The sequence below is a fragment of the Homo sapiens genome, chromosome 17 (assembly GCF_000001405.40).
Source record: "Homo sapiens chromosome 17, GRCh38.p14 Primary Assembly".
Lineage (NCBI taxonomy): Eukaryota > Metazoa > Chordata > Mammalia > Primates > Hominidae > Homo > Homo sapiens.
Genome location: NC_000017.11, coordinates 1,120,900 through 1,147,530, shown reverse-complemented (window position 1 = coordinate 1,147,530; position 26,631 = coordinate 1,120,900). Strand labels below are relative to the sequence as shown.

The 26,631-nt window shown below is 54.4% G+C and overlaps 1 protein-coding gene across 4 annotated transcripts in view, besides 2 other annotated features; it reads left to right on the top strand.

The window, feature by feature from the left end:
• ABR (ABR activator of RhoGEF and GTPase) overlaps positions 1–26,631 on the top strand; it is a 226,204-nt gene that overhangs the window by 82,192 nt on the left and 117,381 nt on the right. For 3 of the 4 annotated variants that reach the window (NM_001322841.2, NM_001159746.3, NM_021962.5), the window contains exon 2: positions 22,164–22,348. In NM_001322841.2, coding sequence (NP_001309770.1) covers positions 22,164–22,348 — 185 coding nt within the window. Of the gene's footprint in view, positions 1–20,958; positions 21,192–22,163; positions 22,349–26,631 lie in introns of those variants that run through there. The other variant, NM_001322840.2, reaches the window with a different exon arrangement.
• Positions 23,490–24,031: an enhancer, noted in NCBI's record as "H3K4me1 hESC enhancer chr17:1026835-1027376 (GRCh37/hg19 assembly coordinates)". NCBI's record gives its function as "activates a minimal SCP1, AML or CMV promoter by ChIP-STARR-seq in primed H9 embryonic stem cells {active_cell/tissue: H9 hESC(primed)}" and the evidence as "EXISTENCE:reporter gene assay evidence [ECO:0000049][PMID:30033119]".
• Positions 24,032–24,574: an enhancer, noted in NCBI's record as "H3K4me1 hESC enhancer chr17:1026293-1026834 (GRCh37/hg19 assembly coordinates)". NCBI's record gives its function as "activates a minimal SCP1, AML or CMV promoter by ChIP-STARR-seq in primed H9 embryonic stem cells {active_cell/tissue: H9 hESC(primed)}" and the evidence as "EXISTENCE:reporter gene assay evidence [ECO:0000049][PMID:30033119]".

Here is a 26,631-nt window from a genome sequence, read left to right as displayed (position 1 = left end):
AAATTAGCTGAGTGTGGTAGTGGGTGACTGTAATCCCAGCTACTCAGGAGGCTGAGGCAGGAGACTCACTTGAACTCAGGAGGCAGAGGTTGCAGTGAGCCAAGATTGTGCCACTGCACTCCAGGCTGGGCGACAGAGTGAGACTCTGTGTCAAAAAAAAAAAAAACAACCAAAACCCCCCACAAATTACTGCTGAAATCCTCATCACTTAACACAAGCAAGCTGCTGCTTGCTCACAGTGGTCCTGGTAGACGGGGGGCTCTGCTCCCCGTGGTCATGCCGGGACCCAGCCTGATGGAGACTGCACCATTTGGAATATGTGGCCTCCAAGGGTCACAGAGGGAGGAGAAAGGGAGAAAGAGCTGTGTGTAATTTTTCACTGTTCAGCCGTGAAATGATACTTGTCATGTCCACTTACAGTTTGTTAGCCAGGACTGAGCACCTGGCCCTGCCCAGGGACTGCCAAGTGGCCAGACAGTACGGCCTTCCATGTGCCCAGAAAGACAGGAGGATGGGGATATTGCTGGGCACTGGTCGTGTTGACCACATAGTGGCAGGTGGCTTATGTGAAGGATGAAGGCCCTTGAGCCTGCTCTGTGGCCAGGGCAGTGGTGTCATGGTGGCAGTGGTGGCAGTGGCGGCAGTGGTGTCATGTAGCAATGGTGGCAGTGGTGGCAGTGGTGGCCTGGTGGCAGTGGTGTCGTGTGGCAGTGGTGGCCTGGTGGCAGTGGTGGCATGGTGGCAGTGGTGGCCTGGTGGCAGTGGTGTCATGTGGCAGTGGTGGCAGTGGTGTCGTGTGGCAATGGTGGCAGTAGTGGCAGTGGTGGCATGGTGGCAGTGGTGTCGTGTGGCAGTGGTGGCCTGGTGGCAGTGGTGGCATGTGGCAGTGGTGGCATGTGGCAGTGGTGGCAGTGGTGTCATGTGGCAGTGGTGGCATGGTGGCAGGTGTCTGGGCACTGAAGGGACTTGGGTGTAACTGACTTCTAGGGGAAGTGGCAGAATCATGGTCATCTTCATGTGCCCCGCACTGTGCTGAGCTGTTTACAGACGTCATCTCATGGAATCCCCACAACAATCCTATCATTCCGTTTCACCTTTGGGGAAGCCAGAGCTCAGGACCACAGCCTCCAAGTGATGGCTGTGCTTGCTGGTAGGAGGGTGCTTATGGCAGCAGAGAGGCCGGGGGCTGAATGGAGTGTGGGGGCCAGAGGTGGTGGGGCCACAAGGATGTGATGTGTGTGTGTGTGTGTGTGTGTGTGTGTGTGTGTGTCTCCATGTGCCTGCGTGGATAGAAACAAGCAGAGACAAGCTGGCTGGGCTTTTGCCCTTCCCCAGCTCCGCGCACACCTAGCTTTGCACCACTCTGGAGGAATGGTGACGTCGAATGTCCAAGGAAGAGGCTAACCTGGGCACGTCCTCTTACCTGCCCTCCTTGAATGACACAAGACATTGGAAGTGGAAGTCACAGTCACCGGTGCTCTGGAGCTGGGAGTGGGGAGAAGGAGGTGACTTTTGAGGCACTCTGTGACAGCCCAGTTCAACAGTAGAATTATGTTTAAGGCCCAGGAAGGCTCTGGGTGGAGAGCCAGCATTTTGAGCCGAAGGCCAGTGAACGTGGCCACCCAGCAGCACTGGGCAGAGGTGCGGCTGCTTCTGCAGGTGTATGTGTGAAGGGGTGCAAGTGGACGCCTTGGGCGACTTCTGCGGACAGGGGCAGGAGCCCGGAGCTGCGTGGCTCTGGGATTGAAGGGCACCCTGGGGTGGAAGGCAGGGGTCGTGCATCCTGGTCCTGGCTGCTGCCACCCTGCAGGGCTGCTTTGAGAGTCTTGCTGGCCTCTCTGGACCTGGCATTACTTGTCTGTTCTCTGAATTGCCTCTTCCTACTTCTCAGCACTAGATTGTCATTTAATTTTTCATAAATACCCTAAGGACTTACAAAGCCATAGATGGGAGGGGGGCTCCGAGGAGGCCATCCCAGGCAGGTGGTGAGCACCGTTGGATTGAAAGGTCCTCCCAGGTCATCGCCTCCTGGCCACCCGCCTTCTGCAGCTCTGGGGCTGAGTGGCATTTCCCACAGGGAAAGACAGGAGGAAGAGCAGAGCCTTAAATCAAATCAGCCCAGGATTATTACTTGTTATCAATTCTTGAGGAGGTTCGGAGGGGAAGCAGGAAGTAGGCTGAAGCTGTTAACTCTAATAAGGGTTAGAACTCCTATGGGATTTGTCAGAAGGACTTCCTGGCCCCCAGACCCTAAATAATTGAATTGGTTGTTATGGGAAGAGATGAGGAGGATTATTAGGAGATCGTATCACTCAGCCAGCAGTTACTGAGCATTGGCTCTGCGTGAGTCCTGTCCTGGGCGCCACAAATAACAGGCAGTGAGCAGAAGAGGGCCACCACCTCGCGGGGAAGACAGAATATACCGATAACCCAAACGAACTCAGACTTGCTTTCTTTGTAGAGGATTTATTTTCTTTCTTTTTTTCCTTTATTTTTATTTATTTATTTTTTTTGAGACAGAGTCTCACTCTGTCACCCAGGCTGGAGTGCCGTGGCACCATCTGGCCTACTGCAACCTCCACCTCCTGGGTTCAAGTGATTCTCCTGCCACAGCCTCCCGAGTAGCTGGAATTACAGGGGCCCGCCACACACCCAGCTAATTTTTGTATTTTTAGCAGAGATAGGGTTTCACCATGTTGGTCTCAAACTCCTGACCTCAGGTGATCTGCCCGCCCCGGCCTCCCAAAGTGCTGGGATTACAGGCAGAAGCCACTGCACCCAGCCCTAATTTTTGTATTTTTAGTAGAGACGGGGCTTCACCATGTTGACCAGGCTGGTCTCGAACTCCTGACCTCAGGTGATCCACCCACCTCAGCCTCCCAAAGTGCTGGGATTGCAGGCGTGAGCCACTGAGCCTGGCCCCTGCCCCTTTTTTTTTTTTTGCCTGATTGACTGAACGCGTTATTGTTTGTGAAATGCTCTTTTTATCTGGTATCTCTTGTCACTCCACAGGGGCAGCCCTGTGAACTGCGCAGGGCAGCTGTGTCTTGCCCATTTTACAGATAAGGAAGTGGCGGCACCTAGAGATTAGGTCTGGACGCGGGACCCAGATCTGCCTCCTGGCCCCATGCCCACCTCGTTGAATCCCGTTGCCTTTCCATGGGCGACTCGTAACGGAGCTGGGGGTGCTGGAGTCTGTGCCCGCCCCTGCATCTGGTGTGTGATAGCTTAGGAGATGTTTGTTGAGTGGCTGTTGCTTGCGTACACATGCCGTCAGCTTTCGTCGTATCATGGCAAGGTTATACGGCCCGTCTGCAATATGATTCCTCTATGTTCGGTGGGCACATAACTGTCTTTCCTACAGAGAGATGAGGAATTTTAGTTCCCTCTGCCAAGGTGGGGGGATTTTGTCAAATCGCAGGAAACAATGGCCTTGGTGCAAAGAGTAGCTTTAATCTGTGGCTCAGCTGTTTCTCAGCCAGGTGGCCTTGGATGAGACTCAGAAGCCTCAGTTTTCCCCCGTGTCAAAGGGGGCCATTCATAGCTACTTTGACAACCTCCCTGGGCTGTGGGGATGAAATGAGATCCTGGCCGTGGGCTCACCGTGTAAAACACTGCGCAGATAATACTCAGCATGTCCCATCCATCCCCAAGAGCTGGAGACTGGTGAAGCCACATGCGCTTCTCTGCCCAGGGCTGCTGGCCACCCTGACACCCTGGGCCTCAGCCTCTGCCCTTGATGTCCAAGAACTATGATTCCTTTGTCTCAGGCTGTGGAGCCCTGAGCTTCTCCAGGCGGCCACTTCTCCAGGCGGCTACGGTCTCTGCCTCCCTCTTCCAAGGATCTTGGAGGTGGATGATTGGATTTCATCTCCATGGCAACCAGAGAGGCCATAACACCCGCCCATGGTGGGGCCTCGAGTCTGTTCCCAGCAGTGGAGGCAGAGCCGGAGCAAACAACTCCTGCAACAGCAGCTGTCCCCCAGGAATGAGCTGTCCCCCAGGAGCGAGCTGTCCCCCAGGAGCGAGCTGCCCCCCAGGAGCGAGCTGCCCCCCAGGAATGAGCTGCCCCCCAGGAGCGAGCTGTCCCCCAGGAATGAGCTGTCCCCCAGGAGCGAGCTGCCCCCCAGGAGCGAGCTGTCCCCCAGGAATGAGCTGTCCCCCAGGAGCGAGCTGCCCCCCAGGAGTGAGCTGTCCCCCAGGAATGAGCTGTCCCCCAGGAGCGAGCTGCCCCCCAGGAGCGAGCTGTCCCCCAGGAGCGAGCTGTCCCCCAGGAATGAGCTGTCCCCCAGGAGCGAGCTGCCCCCCAGGAGCGAGCTGTCCCCCAGGAATGAGCTGTCCCCCAGGAGCGAGCTGCCCCCCAGGAGCGAGCTGTCCCCCAGGAATGAGCTGTCCCCCAGGAGCGAGCTGCCCCCCAGGAGCGAGCTGTCCCCCAGGAATGAGCTGTCCCCCAGGAGCGAGCTGCCCCCCAGGAGCGAGCTGCCCCCCAGGAATGAGCTGTCCCCCAGGAGCGAGCTGTCCCCAGGAATGAGCTGTCCCCCAGGAGCGAGCTGTCCCCCAGGAGTGAGCTTCCTCCCAGGAGTGAGCTGCCCCACAGCCTCTGCCCGGCCTCCAGTTGCCGCTTTGCTGGGCTAATGAGGGGCTCCAGGCCTCGGGGTGAGGGTGGCGCTGTCTGTGCTCCCAGTGGCTGCTACAGGCCAGGCCGAGGGTCCTGAGTGAATGAGACAGGGGCCGACCCCCACCCACCCCTGCCTGTCTGTGGTTCACAATCAGAGCAAAGCCCTTTCCGTCCGTCTTGTCTTCTCTTCCCCAGCGAATCCCACAGTCCCCAAGACTGAGGACAAGCCCTGCCTCTTCCGGGCAGCCTTCCCTGTGCTGGCTGAATTGATCACGCGCCTGGCTGATGGCTTCATAGGCTGCTTCAGAGTATTTTTTTTTTTTTTTTGAGATGGAGTTTCGCTCTTATCGCCCAGGCTGGAGTGCAATGGTGTGATCTCAGCTCACTGCAACATCCGCCTCCCGGGTTCAAGCGATTCTCCTGCCTCAGCCCCCCGAGTAGCTGGGATTACAGACATCTGTCACCATACCCGGCTAATTTTTATATTTTTAGTAGAGACGGGGTTTCTCTATGTTGGCCAGGCTGGTCTCGAACTCTCGACTTCAGGTGATCCGCCTGCCTCGGCCTCCCAAAGTGCTGGGATGACAGGCGTGAGCCACTGTGCCCAGCAAGAGTCTTAGTTCCATTTGGTTGTAAAGACGCTCACTTCAGTGTCCCTGTCTGAACCTGGCGGCTCTTGGCCTTCCTATACATTAGAGTCACCTGGGGAGCTTTTAACAGGCCTGATGCCCAGGCCATTCCATACCAATTCAGTAGCAATCCCTGGGGTAGGAGCCAGAGAGCTTCCCAACTCCCCAGGGATTCCAGTGTGCAGTGAAGATTGGAACAGTTATCTTAGGATTCAAGTCATGAACTGGCCGGGCGCAGTGGCTCACACCTGTAATCCCAGCACTTTGGGAGGCCGAGGCAGGTGGATCACCTGAGGTCAGGAGTTTGAGACCATCCTGGCTAACATGGTGAAACCCTACCTCTACTAAAAATACAAAATTATCCGGGCGTGGTGGCGGGCACCTGTAATCCCAGCTACTCAGGAGACTGAGGCAGGAGAATTGCTTGAACCGGGGAGGTGGAGGTTGCAGTGAGCCAAGATTGTGCCATTGTACTCTAGCGTGGGAGACAGAGCAAGACTCTGTCTCCAAAAAAAAAAAGAATTTAAGTCGTAACTAGTCCACCAGCCTGTGCTGAATGGAGGCTGACTGATGAACAGCAGAGTTAGCTGACAAAGCTTGCTGTAGTCTTAACTCACTGCAAATTGCCAAAGCCCTGGTTTGTTTTTTAAGGGCTGGGAGGTCCCTAAGGGTTCTTGGTACTCAGGAAGGAGAGCAGGGGAATAATGATAATAGCTGCCGTTTTGTTAGCGCCAGCTTTGGGTGCCTTGCATAGCATATATTTCCTCATTGTAACCTCGCAAAAGCTTCATGAGGTATAGATCTTGTTTTTATCCTCATTTTAGAGATGAGAAAACTGAGGCTCTGAATGGCTAAGTAGCTTGCCCAAGGTCACATGGCTAAGGTCACATTCCCGAAGTGCTAATCTCAGGAATGGAACCCGAGTGTGATTCCAAAGCCTCTGCCCTTGACCACTGAGCTGTCCTGGCTCCCCAACCTCTGCTCCATCAATCAAAGAATGGGGGGCCCTGAGAAGGAGGTGGCTTGTCCCGTGGGAAAGATGCTGGTTTCCAGGATTCCTCCCCTTGGAGCCAGGCCCTGACTGAGGGGCTCCCGATGGTATTAAATATCTCCTGGATCAGCTGGGGTCACCTGGACCCTGAAGGTGTCTACTTTCCCGTTGCCTACGACACCCACTCGGCTTCAGCTGAGCTTTCCCAAGGACCCTTCTGCCCTGATACTGTGCCCAGTTCTTTAACCTACATCATGTTATTTAATGTCATTTTCACAACCACCCTGTGACATGGTATCGTTATCCTCATCTTGTTTCTTTGAGACAGTCTCACTCTGTCACCCAGGCTGGAGTGCTGTGGTGCGATCTCAGCTCACTGCAACCTCTGCCTCCCAGTGCAATAGAAGACTGGCCGGGCGCGGTGGCTCACACTTGTCATCTCAGCACTTTGGGAAGCCGAGGTGGGCGGATCACTTGAGGTCAGGAGTTCGAGACCAGCCTGGCCAACATGGTGAAACCCCATCTCTACTAAAAATACAAAAATTAGCCGGGCATGGTGGCGGGTGCCTGTGATCCCAGCTACTTGGGAGGCTGAGACAGGAGAATTGCTTGAACCTGGGAGGCGGAGGTTGCAGTGAGCTGAGATCCCACCACTGCACTCCAGCCTGGGTGACAGATTGAGACTTCGTCTCCAAAAATAAATAAATCAATAAAATAAAGTGCAGTAGAAGACAGTGTCCTTATTGTTGTAGGTGAGGTGGTAGATTTTGTATCTGAGCCACCATCCCTGCTGAAATTGCCCCGGACAGGCTGATCTGGTACAGGTGGCACCTGGGAAGTGGCAGCCTCGCTTCCGCTGGCCAGTTCCCTGGTTCAGGGTTGCCGGCCTCCCAGATCCACACCTGTGGTCCAGACTCTGCTGTCTGGCTGCCCGTTGGATCTTCTGACAGGGATGGCCATGAGTCTTCTCAGTCCAGACATGTCTCCACCTGGACTTAGGGTCTGTTCCCCCGGAACCAGCTCCCCCTTCCTGTCCATCGCTCAGCCCTCCAAGCCCAGAGGACCCTGCTGTGGCCGCATTTTCAGTCAACTCTCCCATCGCCAGACTTTGCCCTTGGTTCCCACCATGGTCACCTTTGACAAAGCACGGAGGGGCGGTTTGCCCCGTTCCACATCATCTCATGCACCACAGTCAGCTTCGTTTTCCTGAAGTCACCTCTGAAATCACCTTGCCATTTTGGCATCCGTGGCTCCCAGCGTGCGTGAAATCTGACTATTCAGGATAGTGTTCCAGGCCCTCTGCAGTCTGACCCCTCCAGAGCTCGGCTTCAGTGGTACCAGTCTGTTCATCAGGGCCAACCTCCTGCGTCCTGCCCCCATTCTGCACGCTGATACCCTGCCGCAAATGGACCTTTTCCTTCCTCACGCTCTGTGACTGGTTGTTTCTTCCATATGAACCCCTCAGGGCAGCCCACACACTTCGTGTTTGGTATTTGTATGAGTCCTACATATGATAACATTTTAAGAGCAAAGGTTGTGGAGTTGGATGACCTGTGTCCATCTGGTTTCCCACCTGACTGCCGTGAAATCTTGGGCGAGTAACTTAACTCCCTGCGCTTTCATTTCCTCCATTGTAAATGAGTCATAATGGTACGGAGGCAGAAATTTAAAAACAAATATGTATGTATTTACTCCAAGAAAAGTAACAGGCAAGGCAAGGGTTAAAAAGAAAAAAAAAACAGGCCGGGCACGGTGGCTCACGCCTGTAATCCCAGCATTTTGGGAGGCCGAGGCGGGTGGATCACGAGGTCAGGAGATGGAGACCATCTTGGCTAACACGGTGAAACCCTGTCTCTACTAAAAATACAAAAAAATTAGCCGGGCATGATGGCAGGCACCTGTAGTCCCAGCTACTCGGGAGGCTGAGGCAGGAGAATGGCTTGAACCCGGGAGGCGGAGCTTGCAGTGAGCCGAGATGGCGCCACTGCACTCCAGCCTGGGCGACAGAGCGAGACTCCATCTCAAAAAACAAAAAACAAAGGAACAAAAAAAACCTCTTTTTTTTTCTGCCTAGCAAGCTCACTTTAAGGAGTTATAAGATAACGCTGTTTAAGAAGCCAAGGCTAAAGAAATGGGCTCCACACACCCGCCTTTTAGAGCAAGGTTGAAGGAAAAAAGAAAGAGAAATTCCTTTACTGTTACTCCTTTCCCTGGCTTCCTAAGCATAACTGTGTTTACAAATGTCTGGATTTAGCCAGTCCTTGTTTTTCTTTTGACACAGCTACAAGCCACAAGTTATGCACTATATGATTAACTGCTTTTGTTTTACTTTTGTGAAGTCTGCTTATAAAAACCCCATTCTGTCTTTATTCAATGCTAAGCTTTTTAAATGCAAATCCACTGAGCTAGTGCATACCTAAAATAAACAGTCCTTCCCTTCTCCATATCGGTCTCTCCGGTCCTCAGTTTCCTGCAACAGTACAACTTAGATTTTAAATTTTTAAGAAGTTTTTCAGGCAGAGTGTGGTGGCTCATGCCTATAATCCCAGCACTTTGGGAGGCCAAAGTGGAGGACTCTTTGAGGCCAGGAGTTCAAGACCAGCCCGGCCCACATAGCAAGACCCTGTGTCTACAAAAACTTTTTCGAATCAGCCAGGCATGGTTGTGCATGCCTGTGGTCTCAGCTACTTGGGAGGCTGAGGCAGGGGGATCATCTGAGCCCAGGAGTTTGAGGCTGCAATGAGCTATGTTTGTGCCACTGCACTCCAGCCTGGGCAACAGAGCGAGACTCTGTCTCTAAAAAAAACAAAAAACAAAAATCAAAAAACAAAAAAAAGCTTTTCAAGTGCACCAGTCTTAAGCATAGAGCTTGGTGAATATTTCCATATGTCTGCTTGTGTAACTAACACCCAGATCAAGATATGGAACATCTTCAGTGTCCTGGAAAGTTGCTTCCTGCCCCTTCCCAGCCAACACTCCCTGTCCCCGTCGTCCACCCCCAGAAAGCCACTGCCATGGACTTCTATCACCATCCATTTGTTTCGCCTGTTCTTGAGCTTTGTATTTAGGCTGGTGCAAAAGTAGTTGAGAGCTGGACGTGGTGGGTCACACCTGTAATCCCAGCACTTTGGGAGGCTGAGGCGGGTGGATCACCTGAGGTCAGGAGCTTGAGACCAACCTGGCCAACATGCTGAAACCCCATCTCTACTAAAAAAAAAAAAAAATTAGCCGGGTGTTGGTGGTGGGCACCTGTAATCCCAGCTACTCAGGAGGCTGAGGCAGGAGAATTGCTTGAACCCAGGAGGCGGAGGTTGCAGTGAGCCGAAATTGTGCCACTGCTCTCCAGCCTGGGTGACAGAGTGAGACCCCGTCTCAAAAAAAAAAAAAAAGTAATTGTGGTTTTTACCATTATATATTACCTTTGCTCCAACCTAAAGTAAATAGCCTCCTGCGGTGCAGGCATACCTCGCTTTACGGCACTCCTGTGATGCGGGCGTACCTTGCTTTACGGCACTCATGTGCAGGCGTACCTCGCTTTACGGCACCTCCATGCTTAGTTGAGCTTCAAAGATGCTGCGTTTTTTTTCACCAGTTGGAAGTGTGTGGCCACCTCGCATTCTCTCTGTGTTACGTGTTGGTGGTTCTCACGATCTTTCAGACTTTTTTATTGTTATGACACCTGTTACAGTGATCTGTGATCAGCGATCCTCCATGTTAGCATTGTCATTGTTTTGGGCACCACAGACCGGACCCGGCAACCTTCATCTATGAACGTTGTGTGTTCTGGCTGTTCCGCCCACCAGCCTTTCCCAGCCTCTCTCCTCTCCCCGCTCCAGCCTCCCTATTCCCTGAGACACAAAAATATCCAAGTTAGTCCAGTGAGTAACCCTACAGTGGCCTCGAGGTGTGCGTCTGTCACTTTAAATCAAAAGCTAGAAATGGTTCAGTTTAGCCCGGGCTCGGTGGCTCACGCCTGTAATCCCAGCACTTTGGGAGGCCGAGGCGGGCAGATCACGAGGTCAGGAGTTCAAGACCAGCCTGGCCAACATGGTGAAACCCCATCGCTACTAAAAATAGAGAAATTAGCCGGGCGTGGTGGCGGGCGCCTGTAATTCCAGCTACTCAGGAGTCTGAGGTGGGAGACTCACTTGAACCTGGGAGGCAGAGGTTGCAGTGAGCTGAGATTGTGCCGCTGCACTCCAGCCTGGGTGATAGAGACTGTCTAGAAAAGAAAGAAAGAGGGAGAGAGAGAAGGAAGAGAGAAAGAGAGAGAGAGAGAGAAAAAAGAAATGATTTAGTGTAGTGAGGAAGGCTTGTTGAAAGCCAAGATAGGCTGGAAGCGGAGCCTCTCCTACCAGTTAGCCAAATTGTGAACACACAGGAAAAGTGTTTTAAGGAAATTCAAAGTGCTTCTCCAGTGAACACAAGAATGATAAGGGAAACAGCCCCACTGCTGATATGGAGAAAGTTTGAGTGGTCGGATAAAGATCAAACCAGCCACAACGTTCCCCTGAGCCGGAGCCCAATCCAGAGCAAGGCCCTCGCACTCTGCAAGTCTGTGAAGGCTGAGAGAGGTGAGGAAGCTGCAGAGGAAAGTTTGAAGCTGGCAGAGATTTGTTCATGAGGGGTCAGGAAAGAAGCCGCTTTCATAACAGAAAAAGGCAAAGTGAAGCAGCAAGTACGGATGGAGAAGCTGCGGCCAGTTGTGCAGAAGATGTAGCAAAGACTGTAAAGGAAGGTCACCGCACTAAACATCAGATTTTTGGCCAGGCGCGGTGGCTCACGCCTGTAATCCCAGCACTGTGGGAGGCCGAGGTGGGTGGATCACTTGAGGTCAGGAGTTCAAGATCAGCCTGGCCTACATGGTGAAACCCTGTCTTTACTAAAAATACAAAAATCAGCCAGGCCTGGTGGTGCACATCTGTAATCCCAGCTACTCAGGAGGCTGAGGCAAGAGAATCACTTGAACCTGGGAGGTGGAGCTTGCAGTGAGCTGAGATCGCGCCATTGCACTCCAGCCTGGGCAACAGAGCCAGACTCTATTTCAAACAACAACAACAAAACCAAACAAAACAAAAACAAAACAGATCAGATTTTCAATGTAGACAAAACAGCCTTCTATTGGAAGAAGACATATGTAGGACTTTCATCCTAGAAAAGGGATCCGTGCCTGGCTTCGAAGTTTCAAAGGACAGAAGGACAGGCTGACTCTAGTGTTAGGGGCCAGTGCAGGGGTGACTTTAAACCAGTGCTCACTGACCATTCTGAATATCCCAGGGACTTTAGGAGTAATGCTCAAACAATGGTATTCTTCACAGAAATAGAAAAAAAAAAATGCTAAAATTTATATGGAACCAAAACAAAAATAACAAAACTGGAAGAATCACATTACCTGACTTTATTTGTTTATTTTTTTTGAGACAGAGCCTTGCTCTGTCACCCAGGCTGGAGTGCAGTGGCCCAATCTTGCCTCACTGCAACCTCCGCCTCCCGGGTTCAAGTGAATCTCCTGCCTCAGCCCCCCGAATAGCTGGGATTACAGGCACCTGCCACCAAGCCCAGCTGATTTTTGTATTTTTAGTAGAGACAGGCTTTCACCATGTTGACCAGGCTGGTCTCAAACTCCTGACCTCCGGTGATCTGCCTGCTCCAGCCTCCCACAGTGCTGGGATTACAGGTGTGAGACACCGCACCTGGCCTCTCTGAAGACTTTTGATGCAGCTTTGGTGGAATAATGGTCAGGGCTGGGCTCCCTCAGCTGCTCTTCCCTCTCTCATTCCCATCCTCAATTCTTGGGCAGAAAATAAGTTTATCACTTAACAGTCAGCCTCTGTATCACCCTTGCGACAGGCTGGAGGGTGTCGCTCCAGCCTGGGCAACAAGAGTGAAACTCTGTCTCAAAAAAAAAAAAAAAAGACAAAAAGAAAAAGAATAAAAAATAAAGTTAGCAATATTCAGCAATGATGTGGCCGGCAAGAGCCTGCAGAGGATCATGGGCCAGGTCACCCATCCTCACTGAGTCCTGCACGGCTCTCGGCTCAGCTCACGAGGCTCTCAGGAGCAAGTCCCTGCCTCCTCTCCAGCACGGCCCTCTCCCCCTCTGCTCACTCTGTGTTCTAGCCCTCCTGGCTATTTATAGTCCCCTCCAGGGGCCCTGCTGTTTCCCACTGGGTGCCACTGCCAAGCCTCCTCTCACCGCCTGAAACTCTGCTCCTGTCCCCCACCCGCCTGGCAGGCACCCACACAGCTTTCAAGATCCAATTAATAACAGTAATAATAGCAGCTGAGATGGATTGGGTGCTTCCTATGTGCTAAGTGCCGTATGCGTGTCATCCAGTTTAACCCCCGCAGCGGCCCGTGCACTTGATCCTGTGTCGTCCCCCGTTTCACACGGATTTGCTAAACCCGTATCCATTTAGTAGCAGCCACCCTGTGCCAGGCACTCCTCGGAGGCACAGAGAGGTTAGGAAGTGCCAGAGCGTGGGCTGGAACCTCCGCTGCCGGACCGCAGGGTCCCTGCTCTCAGCCACAGCGATGAACTGTCTTCCTTAGCGTGGCACCAAAGCCTCCCCAGCCACCTCCCCTCCCCGAGTGTTGCCCACACCCTCCGGTCCGCCTTGCCGGGCCTTTGAGGCCTCTGTCGTAGCATCTCGGAGATTTGATTGCTGATTGGACTCGCTTCCTCTCTGGGCTGTGAGGATATCATTTGGAAATGTGTTCATTGTAAGCAGCAGAAAACCCAATATATAGGGACTTGTATTTCCCATGAGCAGGAAATGAGACAGGCTCTTCCTAGTGTGGCTCAGCTGAACAGCATGAGGGAAATGGCTCTGTTCTTTTATTTATTTAATTTAATTTAATTAATTAATTTTTATTTTTTTGAGAGGGAGTCTTGCTCTGTTGCCCCGGCTGGAGTGCAGTGCTACAATCTCAGCTCACTGCAACCTCTGCCTCCTGGGTTCAAGTGATCTCCTGCCTCAGCCTCCTGCGTAGCTGGGATTACAGGTGTGTGCAACCATACCTGGCTAATTTTTGTATTTTTAGTACAGACGGGGTTTCATCATGTTGAGCAGGCTGGTCTCAAACTTCTGACCTCAGGTGATCCACCTGCCTCAGCCTCCCAAAGTGCTGGGATTACAGGCGTGAGTCACCACCCGGCTAATTTTTGTAGTTTCTGTAGAGATGGGGTTTCACCATCTTGCCCAGGCTGGTCTCGAACTCCTGACCTCAGGTGATCTGCCCGCCTTGGCCTCCCAAATTGCTGGGATGACAGGCATGAGCCACGCGCCCGGCCTCTGTTCTTTCTTGACCTGTTCCTGGTGGCAGCAGTAAAGCCACCGTAACTCCAATCATCACCCATGAGTTCAAGGCAAAATGTCTCTTTGTAATCATCAAAGTCAGGGCCTTGCCAGAGGTCCCAGCATGCTTCACTTGGGTCTCAGTGGCCAGAATGGTGTAGGGCAGCCGTTCCTGGTAATGAGAGAGGCAGAGAAAGCGGGTATCTTGCCTGGGACTGGTCTGTTGCCACTTCCTAGAAAACGAGGGTAGAGTAAGCAAGGAAGAAGGGAAGACGGGTGTCGGGTGTCTGCCAGTGCCCTAGAGCGCAGAGACCGTACATTAATTTTTTCAAAATTTCCAGAATCGGAAGGCTCTAATGATTTTGTGTTGTAGCCTTCCAGTCTTTTTTCTATGCACGTATGTTTTTACTTTTTTCAGACATTGTAACATACTTTAATTATTGTTATTAATCTCTTTTTGCACTTGATAAGATGCTATTCATCATCCATATAGTTTTTAATGCTATATAGCAGCCCATCTTGTAGAAAAACCATAATTGACTCAACCAGTCTCATAATTCAGGTTGTTTTTAATATTTCACACTTACAGACAGCCCTGTGACTTACAACTTTATTTTTATGTTCATTTATAACTAGTATCATAGATCATAATCTTATTACGCTGGGTATAAACTGTACCAACCACTAAACCTTTTGATACCAGTTACCAGATTGACTCTAGAAAAGTTGGGCCAACTTTTTTTTTTTTTTTCGAGACGGAGTTTTGCTCTTGCTGCCAAGGCTGGAGAGCAATGTTGTGATCTTGGCTCACCGCAACCTCCACCTCCCAGGTTCAAGCGATTATCCTGCCTCAGCCTTCCCAAGTAGCTGGGATTATAGGCATGTGCTACCACGCCTGGCTAATTTTGTATTTTAGTAGAGATGGGGTTTCTCCGTGTGGGTCAGCCTGGTCTCGAACTCCTGACCTCAGGTGATCCGTCCACTTCGGCCTCCCAAAGACCTGGGGTTACAGGCGTGAGCCACTGTGCCCAGCCAAAGTTGTGCCAGTTATAGGCAGCCTCCAAGAGTTTCTGTGAGTACCTATGCCCTGACAGCTCTGGATATTGTTATTATTATCTTAAAATCCTTGCCAATTTGACACGAACAGTGAAAACTATATAGAACTTTACATTTTCTTTCATTACAAATGAGGTTAACATTCTTTTTAATGCATTTTGAATATTTGTAGTTCTCTTTTAAATTTTCTGTTCATTTCCCTTACACATTTAGAAAGTTGAGGTTTTCATCTTTTCTCATTGGCTTGTAAAAGTGCTTTATTGGCCAGGTGTGGTGGCTCACGCCTGTAATCCCAGCACTTTGGGAGGCCGAGGTGGGTGGATCACAAGGTCAGGAGTTGGAGACCATCCCGGCTAACACGGTGAAACCCCGTCTTTACTAAAAATACAACAATTAGCCAGGCATGGTGGTGCATGCCTATAATCCCAGCTACTCGGGAGGCTGAGACGGGAGAATCGCTTGAACCTGGCAGGTGGAGGTTGCAGTGAGCTGAGATCGTGCCAATGCATTCCAGCCTGGGTGACAGAGCGAGACTCCATCTCAAAAAAAAAAAAAAAAAAAGTGCTTTCGGTATTCAAGTATTATCATAATATGTAGAATACAGGAAAGTTCCTGGGAGAGGGCACAGATGAGGCAGATTTGAGGGCAAAACAGGATTTCACCAGGTGGACAAGGGGTAAGGAGAGGTATATATATATGTGTATGTGTGTGTGTGCGTGTCTTTGTGTGTGTGTGTGTTCATAGAGACAGAGTCTCCTTATGTTGGCCAGGCTGGTCTCAAACTCCTGGGCTCAAGTGATCCTCCTGCCTTGGAGGATGCCCCACATCATAGTGATGGGATGACAGGCGTGAGCCACCGCGCCCAGCAAGGAGGGTTTTCTAGGCACGGGAGCAGTGTGTGCAAAGAGGGGGGAGCTGTGTGCGTGGCAGGCACTGCATTTGGTGTGCAAAGAGGGGGGAGCTGTGCGCGTGGCAGGCACTGCATTTGGTGTGCAAAGAGGGGGGAGCTGTGCGCGTGGCAGGCACTGCATTTGGTGTGCAAAGAGGGGGGAGCTGTGCGCGTGGCAGGCACTGCATTTGGTGTGCAAAGGGGGGGAGCTGTGCGCGTGGCAGGCACTGCATTTGGTGTGCAAAGGGGGGGAGCTGTGCGCGTGGCAGGCACTGCATTTGGTGTGCAAAGAGGGGGGAGCTCTGCGCGTGGCAGGCACTGCATTTGGTGTGCAAAGGGGGGAGCTGTGCGCGTGGCAGGCACTGCATTTGGTGTGCAAAGGGGGAGCTGTGTGCGTGTCAGGCACTGCATTTGGTGTGCAAAGGGGGGAGCTGTGTGCGTGTCAGGCACTGCATTTGGTGTGCAAAGGGGGGAGCTGTGTGCGTGGCAGGCACTGCATTTGGTGTGCAAAGAGGGGGAGCTGTGCGCGTGGCAGGCACTGCATTTGGTGTGCAAAGGGGGGAGCTGTGCGCGTGGCAGGCACTGCATTTGGTGTGCAAAGAGGGGGGAGCTGTGCGCGTGGCAGGCACTGCATTTGGTGTGCAAAGGGGGGAGCTGTGTGCGTGTCAGGCACTGCATTTGGTGTGCAAAGGGGGGAGCTGTGTGCGTGTCAGGCACTGCATTTGGTGTGCAAAGGGGGGAGCTGTGTGCGTGGCAGGCACTGCATTTGGTGTGCAAAGGGGGGAGCTGTGTGCGTGGCAGGCACTGCATTTGGTGTGCAAAGAGGGGGGAGCTGTGTGCGTGGCAGGCACTGCATTTGGTGTGCAAAGGGGGGAGCTGTGCGCGTGGCAGGCACTGCATTTGGTGTGCAAAGAGGGGGGAGCTGTGCGCGTGGCAGGCACTGCATTTGGTGTGCAAAGGGGCGAGCTGTGTGCGTGGCAGGCACTGCATTTGGTGTGCAAAGGGGAGAGCTGTGTGCGTGTCAGGCGCTGCATTTGTGGCTTAATGCTGCCATTAGAGATTGCCATGAACTTGATGGCTTAGAACAGCAGAAATCGATGCTCTCGCAGTCTGAAGACCAGAAGTCTGAAATCAAAGTCCCAGCCCCTCCCCAGGCTGCCGGGGCAGAGTTCCCACTTACTCCCCTCTTTCAGTGTCTGGTGGCTCCAGGCATTCCTTGGTTGGTGGCAGCCCCAGTCCAAACCTTGCCTCTGTCTTCTCTTCTGTCTGTGTTTTCCCCCTTTCTCTTTCCATAGGGACACAGCATTGGATTTAGGACCCACCGGTTAATCGACAATGATCTCATCTTGAGACCCTTCATTTATTCACATCTACAAAGAATGTTTTCCAAATAAGGTCACATTCCCAGGTCCCAGGAATTAGAATCTGGACATACCTTGTGGGGGGGCCACTACTGAACCCACCGCAGGGAGCTAGAAGGAGTCCGATGTCACAGGGCAGGAGAATAGGACCCTGGAGAGGTGGAGCAGGTGCAGACCACAAAGGGCCTTGAGCTGAGGAGCGGGGCTGTGTCCCTAAGTGAATGGGGGGCAACACGGTCTGATTTGTGACCCGGCTGCTGTGGGGAGGGTGCTGGAATTGTCCTTGTAAGAGTTGGTGAGGGTGGGGAGGAGCGGGGATGCCTCACAGTGCAGGAGATGAGGGGCGGGAATGTGGAGGCATCTAGAATGGCTCCCAGGTTCCCTACGTGTGTGGTCTTTGGGAAAAGGCTGCGTTTGAGGCTCCTAAAGGTGGAGATGCCCAGGAGTCTGCAGACCTGACTTCTTCCGGGAGCAGGAACACAATTCGGGAGAGGAAGGTGATGCGAGGTTGATGGAAGCTGGCGAGTACCAGTCCCTGCCACCACCACCATTTTATCATGAACAATTGTAAGCACACAGAAAAGTTGAAAGAATTCACAGTGAACACCCATTCACCTGCTGTCTAACGTTCCCAGTGATGATTTTTATGCGCTTGCTTTATCACACAGCTGTCCATCTTTCCATCCCTCTGAACATCATCATTCCATCTTGGTTTTTTTGTTGTTGGTTGGTTGGTTGTTTCGAGACAGAGTCTCACTCTGTCACCCAGGCTGGCGTGCAATGGTGCAATCTCAGCTCATCACAACCCCCACCTCCCGGGTTCAAGCAGTTCTCCTGCCTCAGCCTCCCAAGTTGCTGGGATTACAGGCACCCGCCATCGCACCCAGCTAATTTTTGTATTTTTAGTAGAGAGGGGGTTTCACCATGTTGGCCAGGCTGTTCTTGAACTCCTAACCTCGTGATCCACCTGCCTCGGCCTCCCAAAGTGCTGGGATTACAGGTGTGAGCCACCGCGTTCAGCCCATCTTATTTTTTATGTATTTCGGAGTAAGTTGCAGAGAGTTGTACACTTCACTCCAGCATGTCACTCACTGGAGCCCAACATTTGCTGAAGTGCATGAATCTTTTTTTGTTCTTGTTTTTGTTTTTGTTTTTTTGAGACGGAGTCTTGATCTGTCGCCCAGTCTGGAGTGCAGTGTCGCGATCTCAGCTCACTGCAAGCCCCGCCTCCTGGGTCCACACCATTCTTCTGCCTCAGCCTCCTAAGTAGCTGGGACAACAGGCGCCAACCACCACGCCTGGCTAATTTTTTTGTAGCCAGTATGGCTTCACCATATTGGCCAGTATGGTCTTGATCTCCTGACCTCAGATGATCCGCCCGCCTCGGCCTCCCACAGTGCTGGGATTACAGGCGTGAGCCCCTGTGCCTGGCCCTGTCATCTAGGTTTTAAGCCCCTCGTGCATTAGGTATTTGTCCTAATGCTCTCCCTCCCCTTGCCCTCCACCCTCCAACAGGCCCCAGTGTGTGACGTTCCCCTCCATGGGAACAGCAATTTTTAAGGGATGGGTAGAGAAAGAAGATTTCACCAAGGAGCCTGAGAAGGACGGTGACAGTCAGAGGAAAAGCACCGAAGCGGGGACGTCAGGGAAGATCACCTGGGTCAGTTACCTTAGGTTTGACTGCAGATAATAGAAAAACCAAGTAACAGAGGCTCAAATTGCATTTGGCACTTTTTCTTTCTTTTATGTAAAAACGCCCCGAGGTAGACCTTCCTGGGGTGGGCTCCACTGTGCCCTCAGTGACCTGGACTCCCAGCTTGTGAAAACGTCCCGAGGTAGACCTTCCTGGGGTGGGCTCCACTGTGCCCTCAGTGACCTGGACTCCCAGCTTGTGAAAACGTCCCGAGGTAGACCTTCCTGGGGTGGGCTCCACTGTGCCCTCAGTGACCTGGACTCCCAGCTTTCTGCTCAGCTGTCTTCAGTGGTGGCTTCTATCCTCAGCTCACCTCATGGTTCAGGATGGCTGCTGGGGCTCCAGCCATCCCATCAACTCTCCAAACCAGCAACAGAAGGAGGAACAAGGGCAGTGTGGATAGTGTACCTTTCGGCTAAATCAGTCTCTTCCAGCAGCTTCCTGCAAGTTCCACACATATCCCTGTAACATCTTGTTGTCTAGAACGTAATCATATGGCTCACACCATCAGGAAAGGTGTCTTTGAACTAGCTGCTGGGTGCACTGCCGCTCCGAATACAGTAGGATTTCTGTTAGTCGGCGGGGAAATGGATATTGGCTGCCAGCAGCCTTTGCCTTGTCTGCCTTTTCTTCTTTTTTGAGATCTGGTGCCCAAGCCGCTGTCTGCTCAGCATACCCACCTGTGGCCGTCGGAGACTGAAGCCTGTGCTCAGTAGGTCCCCATCTTCCTCCCCCAGGGTTCCTGCCTTCTCCGAGGATTGGTTTCCCCATCTTTTCTGTACCCCTTTTCCTGGTTGGAGTCTCCTGGGCTCTCATGGTTTTGTGGGGGCAGAAATGAAAGGGGAAGGCCCTGGAAATGTTCGCAGGCCGAGCCCTTTCGCCGCCCCTGGGCCTCCGCCCACCAGCACCCTGTCCTCAGGCCCCCTGCGTTCAGCTCCATGGTCAGCCCCCCTTAACCAGGAGGGATATGGAAGGGGACTTCTTTGGAGTGAGATTCAGAGGGAAAGGGAGGGCATTTGAGACCTGGGTTCTGATCCTGTGATCTTCGGCAATTGTATGTAAATTGGGAAAAATAAGAACTGCCTCCCCGCGGAACATCCAGGCTGGAAGGAGCAGGGGATGGCAGGGCCCGTGGTCCTCTGCTCTGATCAGGATGAACTGTGCATGTGGGGAGACTGGCAGAGACCTTCCCTACCGTCCCTTCCCCCCCGTTGATCTTGGACGATCTCCCAAGTGTGTGGGGTCCATTCCTGCGACCCCTGGGAATTGGTCAGTGTACAGGAGAGTCTGCTTGGCCGGCTGGAATCTAAACTGTGGGCAAAGCCGCGGTCCACTATTGCTTATTTTCCCTGGACTCCAGGCACCAACAGGGCAGCCTGGAGCCTCCTGGAGAGGAGGAGGGAGGAGGGAGGGGCCGGCGGGAGGCTGCCTTCCATCCCCTCCTGTGCTTCTCCAGAGTGAGGGGGTGTCACCAAACGGCCAGGCCCTTCACGGACCCAGACTCAGGCCAGCTGGGTGCCGCTGTGCCTCTTCCTCCTCCCCCTGGAAGGACCAGAGTCATTTCACATCCCTTCAGCCACAGACACAAGTGTCATGGTCTCCAGGGCACTGGGCCTTATGTCCTAGGTGCGTGGCCTACACACATCTCAGTGGGAGGGCATCCTGGGTCCTGCCCAGGTACGTGGCGTACACGCGTCTCAGTGATGGGGCATCCCTGGGTCCTGCCCGGGTGTGTGGTGTACACTCATCTCAGTGATGGGGCATCCCTGGGTCCTGTGGTTCTTCATACACAACCCTGTCTAGGGAAAAAACTAGTCCATGTCCCCTGGCAGCTGAATGGGGCATTGGCTCAGGGACGAGGAGAGGCAGCCGACAGAAGCAGGTGCAGCGAGCCTAGGGGAAGCGCTCGGCTGCCAAAAGGCCAGATTGGGCAGAGTGTGGCCACGGCCAGGCGTCCCGGTGACCTGTTGACACCATTCTCCAGCTGCTGGTTGCCTGTGGGCTGGTGTGTTGTGACAGAGGAGGGAAGAGCTGGGGCCCCCGTGGAGAACTTGGCTGGCTGGGACTTGGCTGAAGCCTCAGACCTGAGACAGACGGTGCGATCCTCTGCTCATTCATTCGCTCCACGCACTTTCCCCGAGAGCCTGCCACAGGTGGGGTTGTGGGTGCTGGCGTACAGTGATGACTCAGATGCTCACCTCCTGCCCCAGGGGCTCAAGGACAAAGGGGCAGGATTCACTAAGGTGCCAGGGGGCCAGGTGCCATGGGGAGGGTGACCTGGAGGAAAGGATGTCTGGGCAGATGGCAGGGCAGGCTCAGCCAGCCTCCCCCATCACACTGTGCGAGATCCGAAGATGCCTGGCCAGGGAGTCCCGCCCGGAAGATACCCGGGGAGGTTTAACAAGCGGACGCCGCCACTGGGCAGTCCAGTGCGTAGGAGGCTCCTGCTGGCCCCAAGGCTGCCGGCACGGTGATCTTCGTGTCTCCAGGACGCCCTGCGGTGCCAGCTCCCGCTGGCCCGCACGAGTGCTGAAGCTTACCCCTGCTCTGCGATGAGTGTGAGAGGGGTGTCCACCCCCCGCTGGCGGCCCCAGCCCAAGGAGGTCCACCACAGCCCTCGGGAGCAACACTGCCACGTTCTCCGTTGCCAGTCGTGGTGGGTCAGAGCTGGGGAGCAAACAGGCCAAGGGGCAGGGGCCGGTTTGTGGGAGGGTCCCTCCTATAGCCATGCTGGTGGGGCTGGACGCAGGGGCCTTTCCGAGGCCGCCCTCGTAACCCTTTTGGAAAATGTGAAGCCCTGAGCTGCTGACCTGCACACCCCGCTCGCTGCACTGGCTCAGCCTCCCCTCCCAAGGTGGGTGGGCTCCGTGCCTGGGCTCTGGAGCCCAAGTGGTGCTGGCAGCCCTGGGGGGTTAATGCGGCTCAACTTCCCGGTCGCCTTTCCTTCCCTCCTCCTTTGAAGGAAGCCCACACTGGGGTGATAGAAATAAGCACCGGCTCCGAGGAGTCTGCTGTGAGCCCCTGTCCCTGCCAGGCCTGGGCACAGCCTCCTCGCCCACGCCCTGCTGCCTTGGGCTCCGTCCTCCGTGCGGGGCCTTGTTCTGAGGGCTGAGGGCTCCCCTCCCACACTCCAGAACCTGCCCTGGACCCCTGGAGGGAGTGGGCTCAGTACAAATGGTACCCAAGGAGGAGGGCCACAGGAAGTGACATCGACCGGCCCCCCCCACCTCCTTATTCCCTATAAAAAGCAAAATGGTGACTCAGAGAGGAGAGTTGGAAGCGTCCTGCCTCTTGCTCCCACTGTTAATTTTTACACTTGGAATTAGGCAGAAGGCAAAGAAAACAGCAGCTTGAAATACGCGGCTGACATGCTCTTCATCGGGTAGCAACAGCAGAGCCGCTCCTCCCCGCCTCCCAGCAGCCCCGGAGCGGGCAGGGCCCGGTGCCTGCTGGCTCTCCCCCGCCCCTCACCAGGCCCAGGCCCCCGCACAGCCCCCGCCCGGGCCAGGCGTGGATGGTGCGGCCGGGGCCATGGCTGCCGGGGGCCGCCGCCGGCGCCCACTACGCTACCAGTCCCTGGCAGCTCTGGTGGAGGATTCTCAGTGGCCTTTCTTGTTCCTTGTCTCAGACTTCAGCTACGGGACGGACGAGTACGACGGAGAGGGGAATGAGGAGCAGAAGGGGCCCCCGGAGGGCTCAGAGACCATGCCGTACATCGATGAGTCGCCCACCATGTCCCCGCAGCTCAGCGCCCGCAGCCAGGGCGGGGGGGATGGCGTCTCCCCGACTCCACCTGAGGGACTGGCTCCTGGGGTAGGTACACCGGCTTTTCTTTCTGGGTTTGGGGAGGGGTGACGGGAAGGCCTGGGCATCGTGGGCCAGGCCCTGCTTGGGTTGGTCTCGAGAGATTGGGACTGGAGACGTTTGGACCTGGCCGTTCTTGGTGCCTCGTCATCTCGTCCTGGCCCTGGACCCCTCTCAGGCTCGGGCTTCCCTCCCCACCTGCTTTGCCAACGCTGCCGCCCCTGTCTCTCCCCGTCTACTAGCCGTCTGCTCCCCAGGCCTCCCAGACCCCTCCGTGCCTCTTTCAGCTTTCCCCTGTTAGCCTGTCTCCTCCAGAGGACCCAGGAGAGGACCAGGCTCTCCTCCCCTCTGCACCCAGGCCAGGCAGTGGCTGCATGCGTGGCCCGTGGGCTCCAGGTGTTCAGATGCTGCTCCCGCAAAGCCAGCCTGGGCCTGGTGCTCCCTGTGGGTGCAATGAGCTGCCCGCTCCAGCCCTCCTCTGTTCACTCTGGAAGGGAACAAACTCTGATGGCATCCACCTCTCCTTGTTGACAGAGACAAGAGTTCTGCTCCAGAGAGAAGCATTGTAGAAGGAATATTAAGTATGTGCTCTGAGACAGGCCAGGGATAGAAACTGTGGAGGGTTTGCGGTCCTTGTCATTAACGTGTTCCTGGCGACAGGGACTGACGCTGTCTGAGCGCAGCTCGTGTGTGCCTGTCGGAGACACATGAACGAGCAAAACAGAGGTTCTGGGGGTTGTTTGCCTGGAGCTGGTGGGGGAGAAGAATCCAAGCCGGTCCTCTGTGGGGGGTGTGTGTTGCAGGAGGCGGTGGGAGTGCCCCATCCTTGCTTGGTCCTGCTCGTCCGGGTGTGTTTTGTAGGGGGTCTCCGTCCTGCCTTCTGACGTCCCCAGAGGAGCAGTCGCTGAGATGCCACGGGCTGCCTCTTCTTCCTCCAGGGGCTAGTGCCCCCCCACCCCAGCTGAGGCCGCCTGAACCCTCCCATTCTTGAGAACCCCCTGCTCCTTCCAGCCCCCCCGGCCACCCTCCACCCCCCACAGAGCTCTCACCCCTCTTCACACACCGGGGTGGCTGTTATAGCCTTTGGCAACAAGGGCCTTGGCAACGGGCTTCCCACTTGGGGGAAGCCACATTGCTGCCATGGCAACAGAGGCCGAGGCCGAGTTTAGCGGCAGTCCAGGCGTGCACCTGTGGGAAGGGCTGGCGGGGGGCAGGTGGGAGGCAAGGGGGCCGGCGAGGGGGTTGGTCAGTGTGTTGTTGACCTGCCCTAAGACGGGAGGCGGGTTAGAGACAAGCGTCTCGGACCTGCGGGGGCAGGGTTTTTGCCCTGGTTCTCCTGGAGGCATTGGGCTCAGGGTACAAATAGTAACCCAAGGAGGCAGAGCAGGTGTTCAGGGACCTGAACGGGGGCCAACCAGGGGAGAGCAAGGAGGAGAAGACTCTCGCTCCCATCTCTGCCTTCAGCTCTCAAACCACAGCAGGGCTCAGAGCCCCGCCCGGGGGGACTCAGCTCTCACCCCACTGTGAGCAGCTGCAGGAAGATGCTGCGGAATCCCGGTGTGGGGCCAGGGTCTTTGCCGCTGCCTGTCCCCGCGCCACCTCCCTCTTTGCTCCCTGTCCCTGTGCCCTGTCCTTGTCGCGTGACCACCATGACTGGTTTCCGTGTCCGTCGATTTTCCGATTCCTTTGGTGCTGGCAGGTGCCTTCTCTCGGGAGACAGATCACGGGCGTCACGCACAGATGCCCCCGCCTGGCGCTCCGGGGCTTCGGGGCAGAACTTGACTTGGTGGCTGTGCGTCTTGCTTGGTGGCTCACGAGGGACTCACTTGGCTTGAGGACCTTGAAATCCAGAGATGCTAGAGTGACTGCCCCCTAAAGTGCTTGTGGCCCCCAGGGTTGATGTTTACACCATCGACTAGAAGCCACGCAAGGCAGGAGTAGGGAGCACTTGTCCAGCCTGGGGATCGTCCGGGCAAAGGTCCCATCCGCGGCACCTGCCTTCCCTCCTCAGGGAGCGTTTCTGCCCTTTCTGCTGGGTCACCGGCCCCACCTAGTGGACTCTGCAGGGATTGCTGTTTACACGGGGTGCCTGGAGGGAGCTGACGCCTCTTCCTGAGTACTTGGGGATGTTTTGGTTAAAAACACTATTAATAAAAGACCGAGGTTTCTGCGGCTTGGCTGTGCTTATTTGGCCAAACAGGTCCCCTCCCCTACCAGGCTTCCTGCTGGGGCCTTGGGAACAGGGGGGACTTCTGGACCAAATCAGACAATTGTTGTAGATATTCAGATATCTGGCTTCTGGCACCGCCTTATCGCTGGGCCTTCCACGCCCAAATATGCAGCCAACGGGAAGCCCAAGGTTGAGTCTTTGTGTTAGTCAGTGTTCTCTAGAGAAACAAAACCAACAGGGTGTGTGCGTTATCTGTATCTATATCTACATACGAAGAAAAGTATTAGAAGGAATTGATTCAGGTGATTATGGAGGCTTAGAGGTCCTAATCTCTGCAGTCAATAGCTGGAGACCCAGGACAGCCAATATTGGTTCCAGTCCAAGTCCAAAGGCCTGAGAGCTAGGAGAGCCAGGGATGTAAATTCCAGCTCATAAGCCAGTGGACTCGAGGCTCAGGAAGAGCCAGTGTTTCAGTCCGAGTCTGGAGGCTGGAGGAGGCCAACATCCCAGCTCACGCTCAGGTAGTCAGGCGAGAGGAGCTTCCTCTTATTCTGCCTTTTTGTTAATTCAGGTGTTCAGTGGATTGGATGAGGCCCACCTACACTGGGGAGGAGTCTTTTTACTCAGTCCACCAATACACATATCAACCTCATCCCAAATGCCTCACAAATATGTCCGGATTAATGTTTGGACAAGTATCTGGACACCTTGTGGCCTAGTCAGGTTGGCCTAGAAAATGAAGTGTCATACTATTATTCCTTCAGCCACCCAGGATGGAAAGCAGATAAGCTTTGCGCAGATGAAAATCTATTACTCTCAGGCTGGGCGCGGTGGCTCACGCCTGGAATCCCAGCACTCTGGGAGACTGAGGCAGCCAGATTACCTGAGGTCAGGAGTTTGAGACTAGCCTGGCCAACATGGTGAAACCCTGTCTCTACTAAAAATACAAAAATTAGCCGGGCGTGGTGGCACATGCCTGTAATCCCAGCTACTCAGGAGGCTGAGGCGGGAGAATCACTTGAACCTGGGAGGTGGAAGTTGCAGCGAGCCGAGATCTTGCCACTGCGCTCCAGCCTGGGTGACAAAGCGAGACTCCATCTCAAGAAAATAAAAGAAAATCTACTCTTTAGCTGTGAGACATTGGGCAAGTGTCCTCATACCGCTGAGCCTCAGTCTCCTTGTCTCTAGATAGCTCTAACTCCCCTGAAAGGTAGTGGGGAGGAGGCCCCACTGTGAGCAGCTCTCAGACCACAGCAGGGCTCAGAGCCCTGCCTTGGGGACTCAGCTCCCATCCCACTGTGAGCAGCTCTCAGACCACAGCAAGGCTCAGAGCCCTGCCTGGGGGACTCAGCTCCCATCCCACTGTGAGCAGCTCTCAGACCACAGCAGGGCTCAGAGCCCTGCCTTGGGGACTCAGCTCCCATCCCACTGTGAGCAGCTCTCAGACCACAGCAGGGCTCAGAGCCCTGCCTGGGGGGACTCAGCTCCCATCCCACTGTGAGCAGCTGCAGGAAGATGCTGCGGAATTTCAGCATGAGGGGAGGCCTGCAGCATTAGGCCTGGCTCACCAAAGTGCACAGCCCTTGGCCACCAGGGCCCACAAGACTTTTCTCGCCAGGTTTAGAGGGCTGGGGAGCCAACAGCATTACCACTGCAAAGACCAAGTCTGATCAATATCTGCTGCACCATGACCGAACCTGCTTTTGCAATCAACCTCCTTTCTGCCACATGGGGTGGCCCCGGGTGAAGCCGGGTCTCTGCGGTGTTGGCAGGACATGCTCCTCTCTCCCCAGCACGCCCTTCCACAGCCTTGCACTCTGCCTTTGTCTTCTTTTGTGTCCCCAAGACATGGATCCCACAGAGGTATTAGGGTGAAACCTGAAGCCCTGCCCCATAAACCCTGCCCAAGTCCAGGCTGAGCAGGGCAGCACGGCAGGGCCAGGCCCACAGACCACGGGTGGCTCCATTCAGCGGAGACTGCCCAGTTTCACTCTGAGAAGAAAGGGCCAGGACTCATCTCAGCTGACAAGTGGGGGTGTAGGTTCCTAAGGCAGGACCATGGTCTTACAGAAAACCCGCCTCCCCACAGGCCACAGACTCCTCTGTCTGCTTGCCTCTTGGG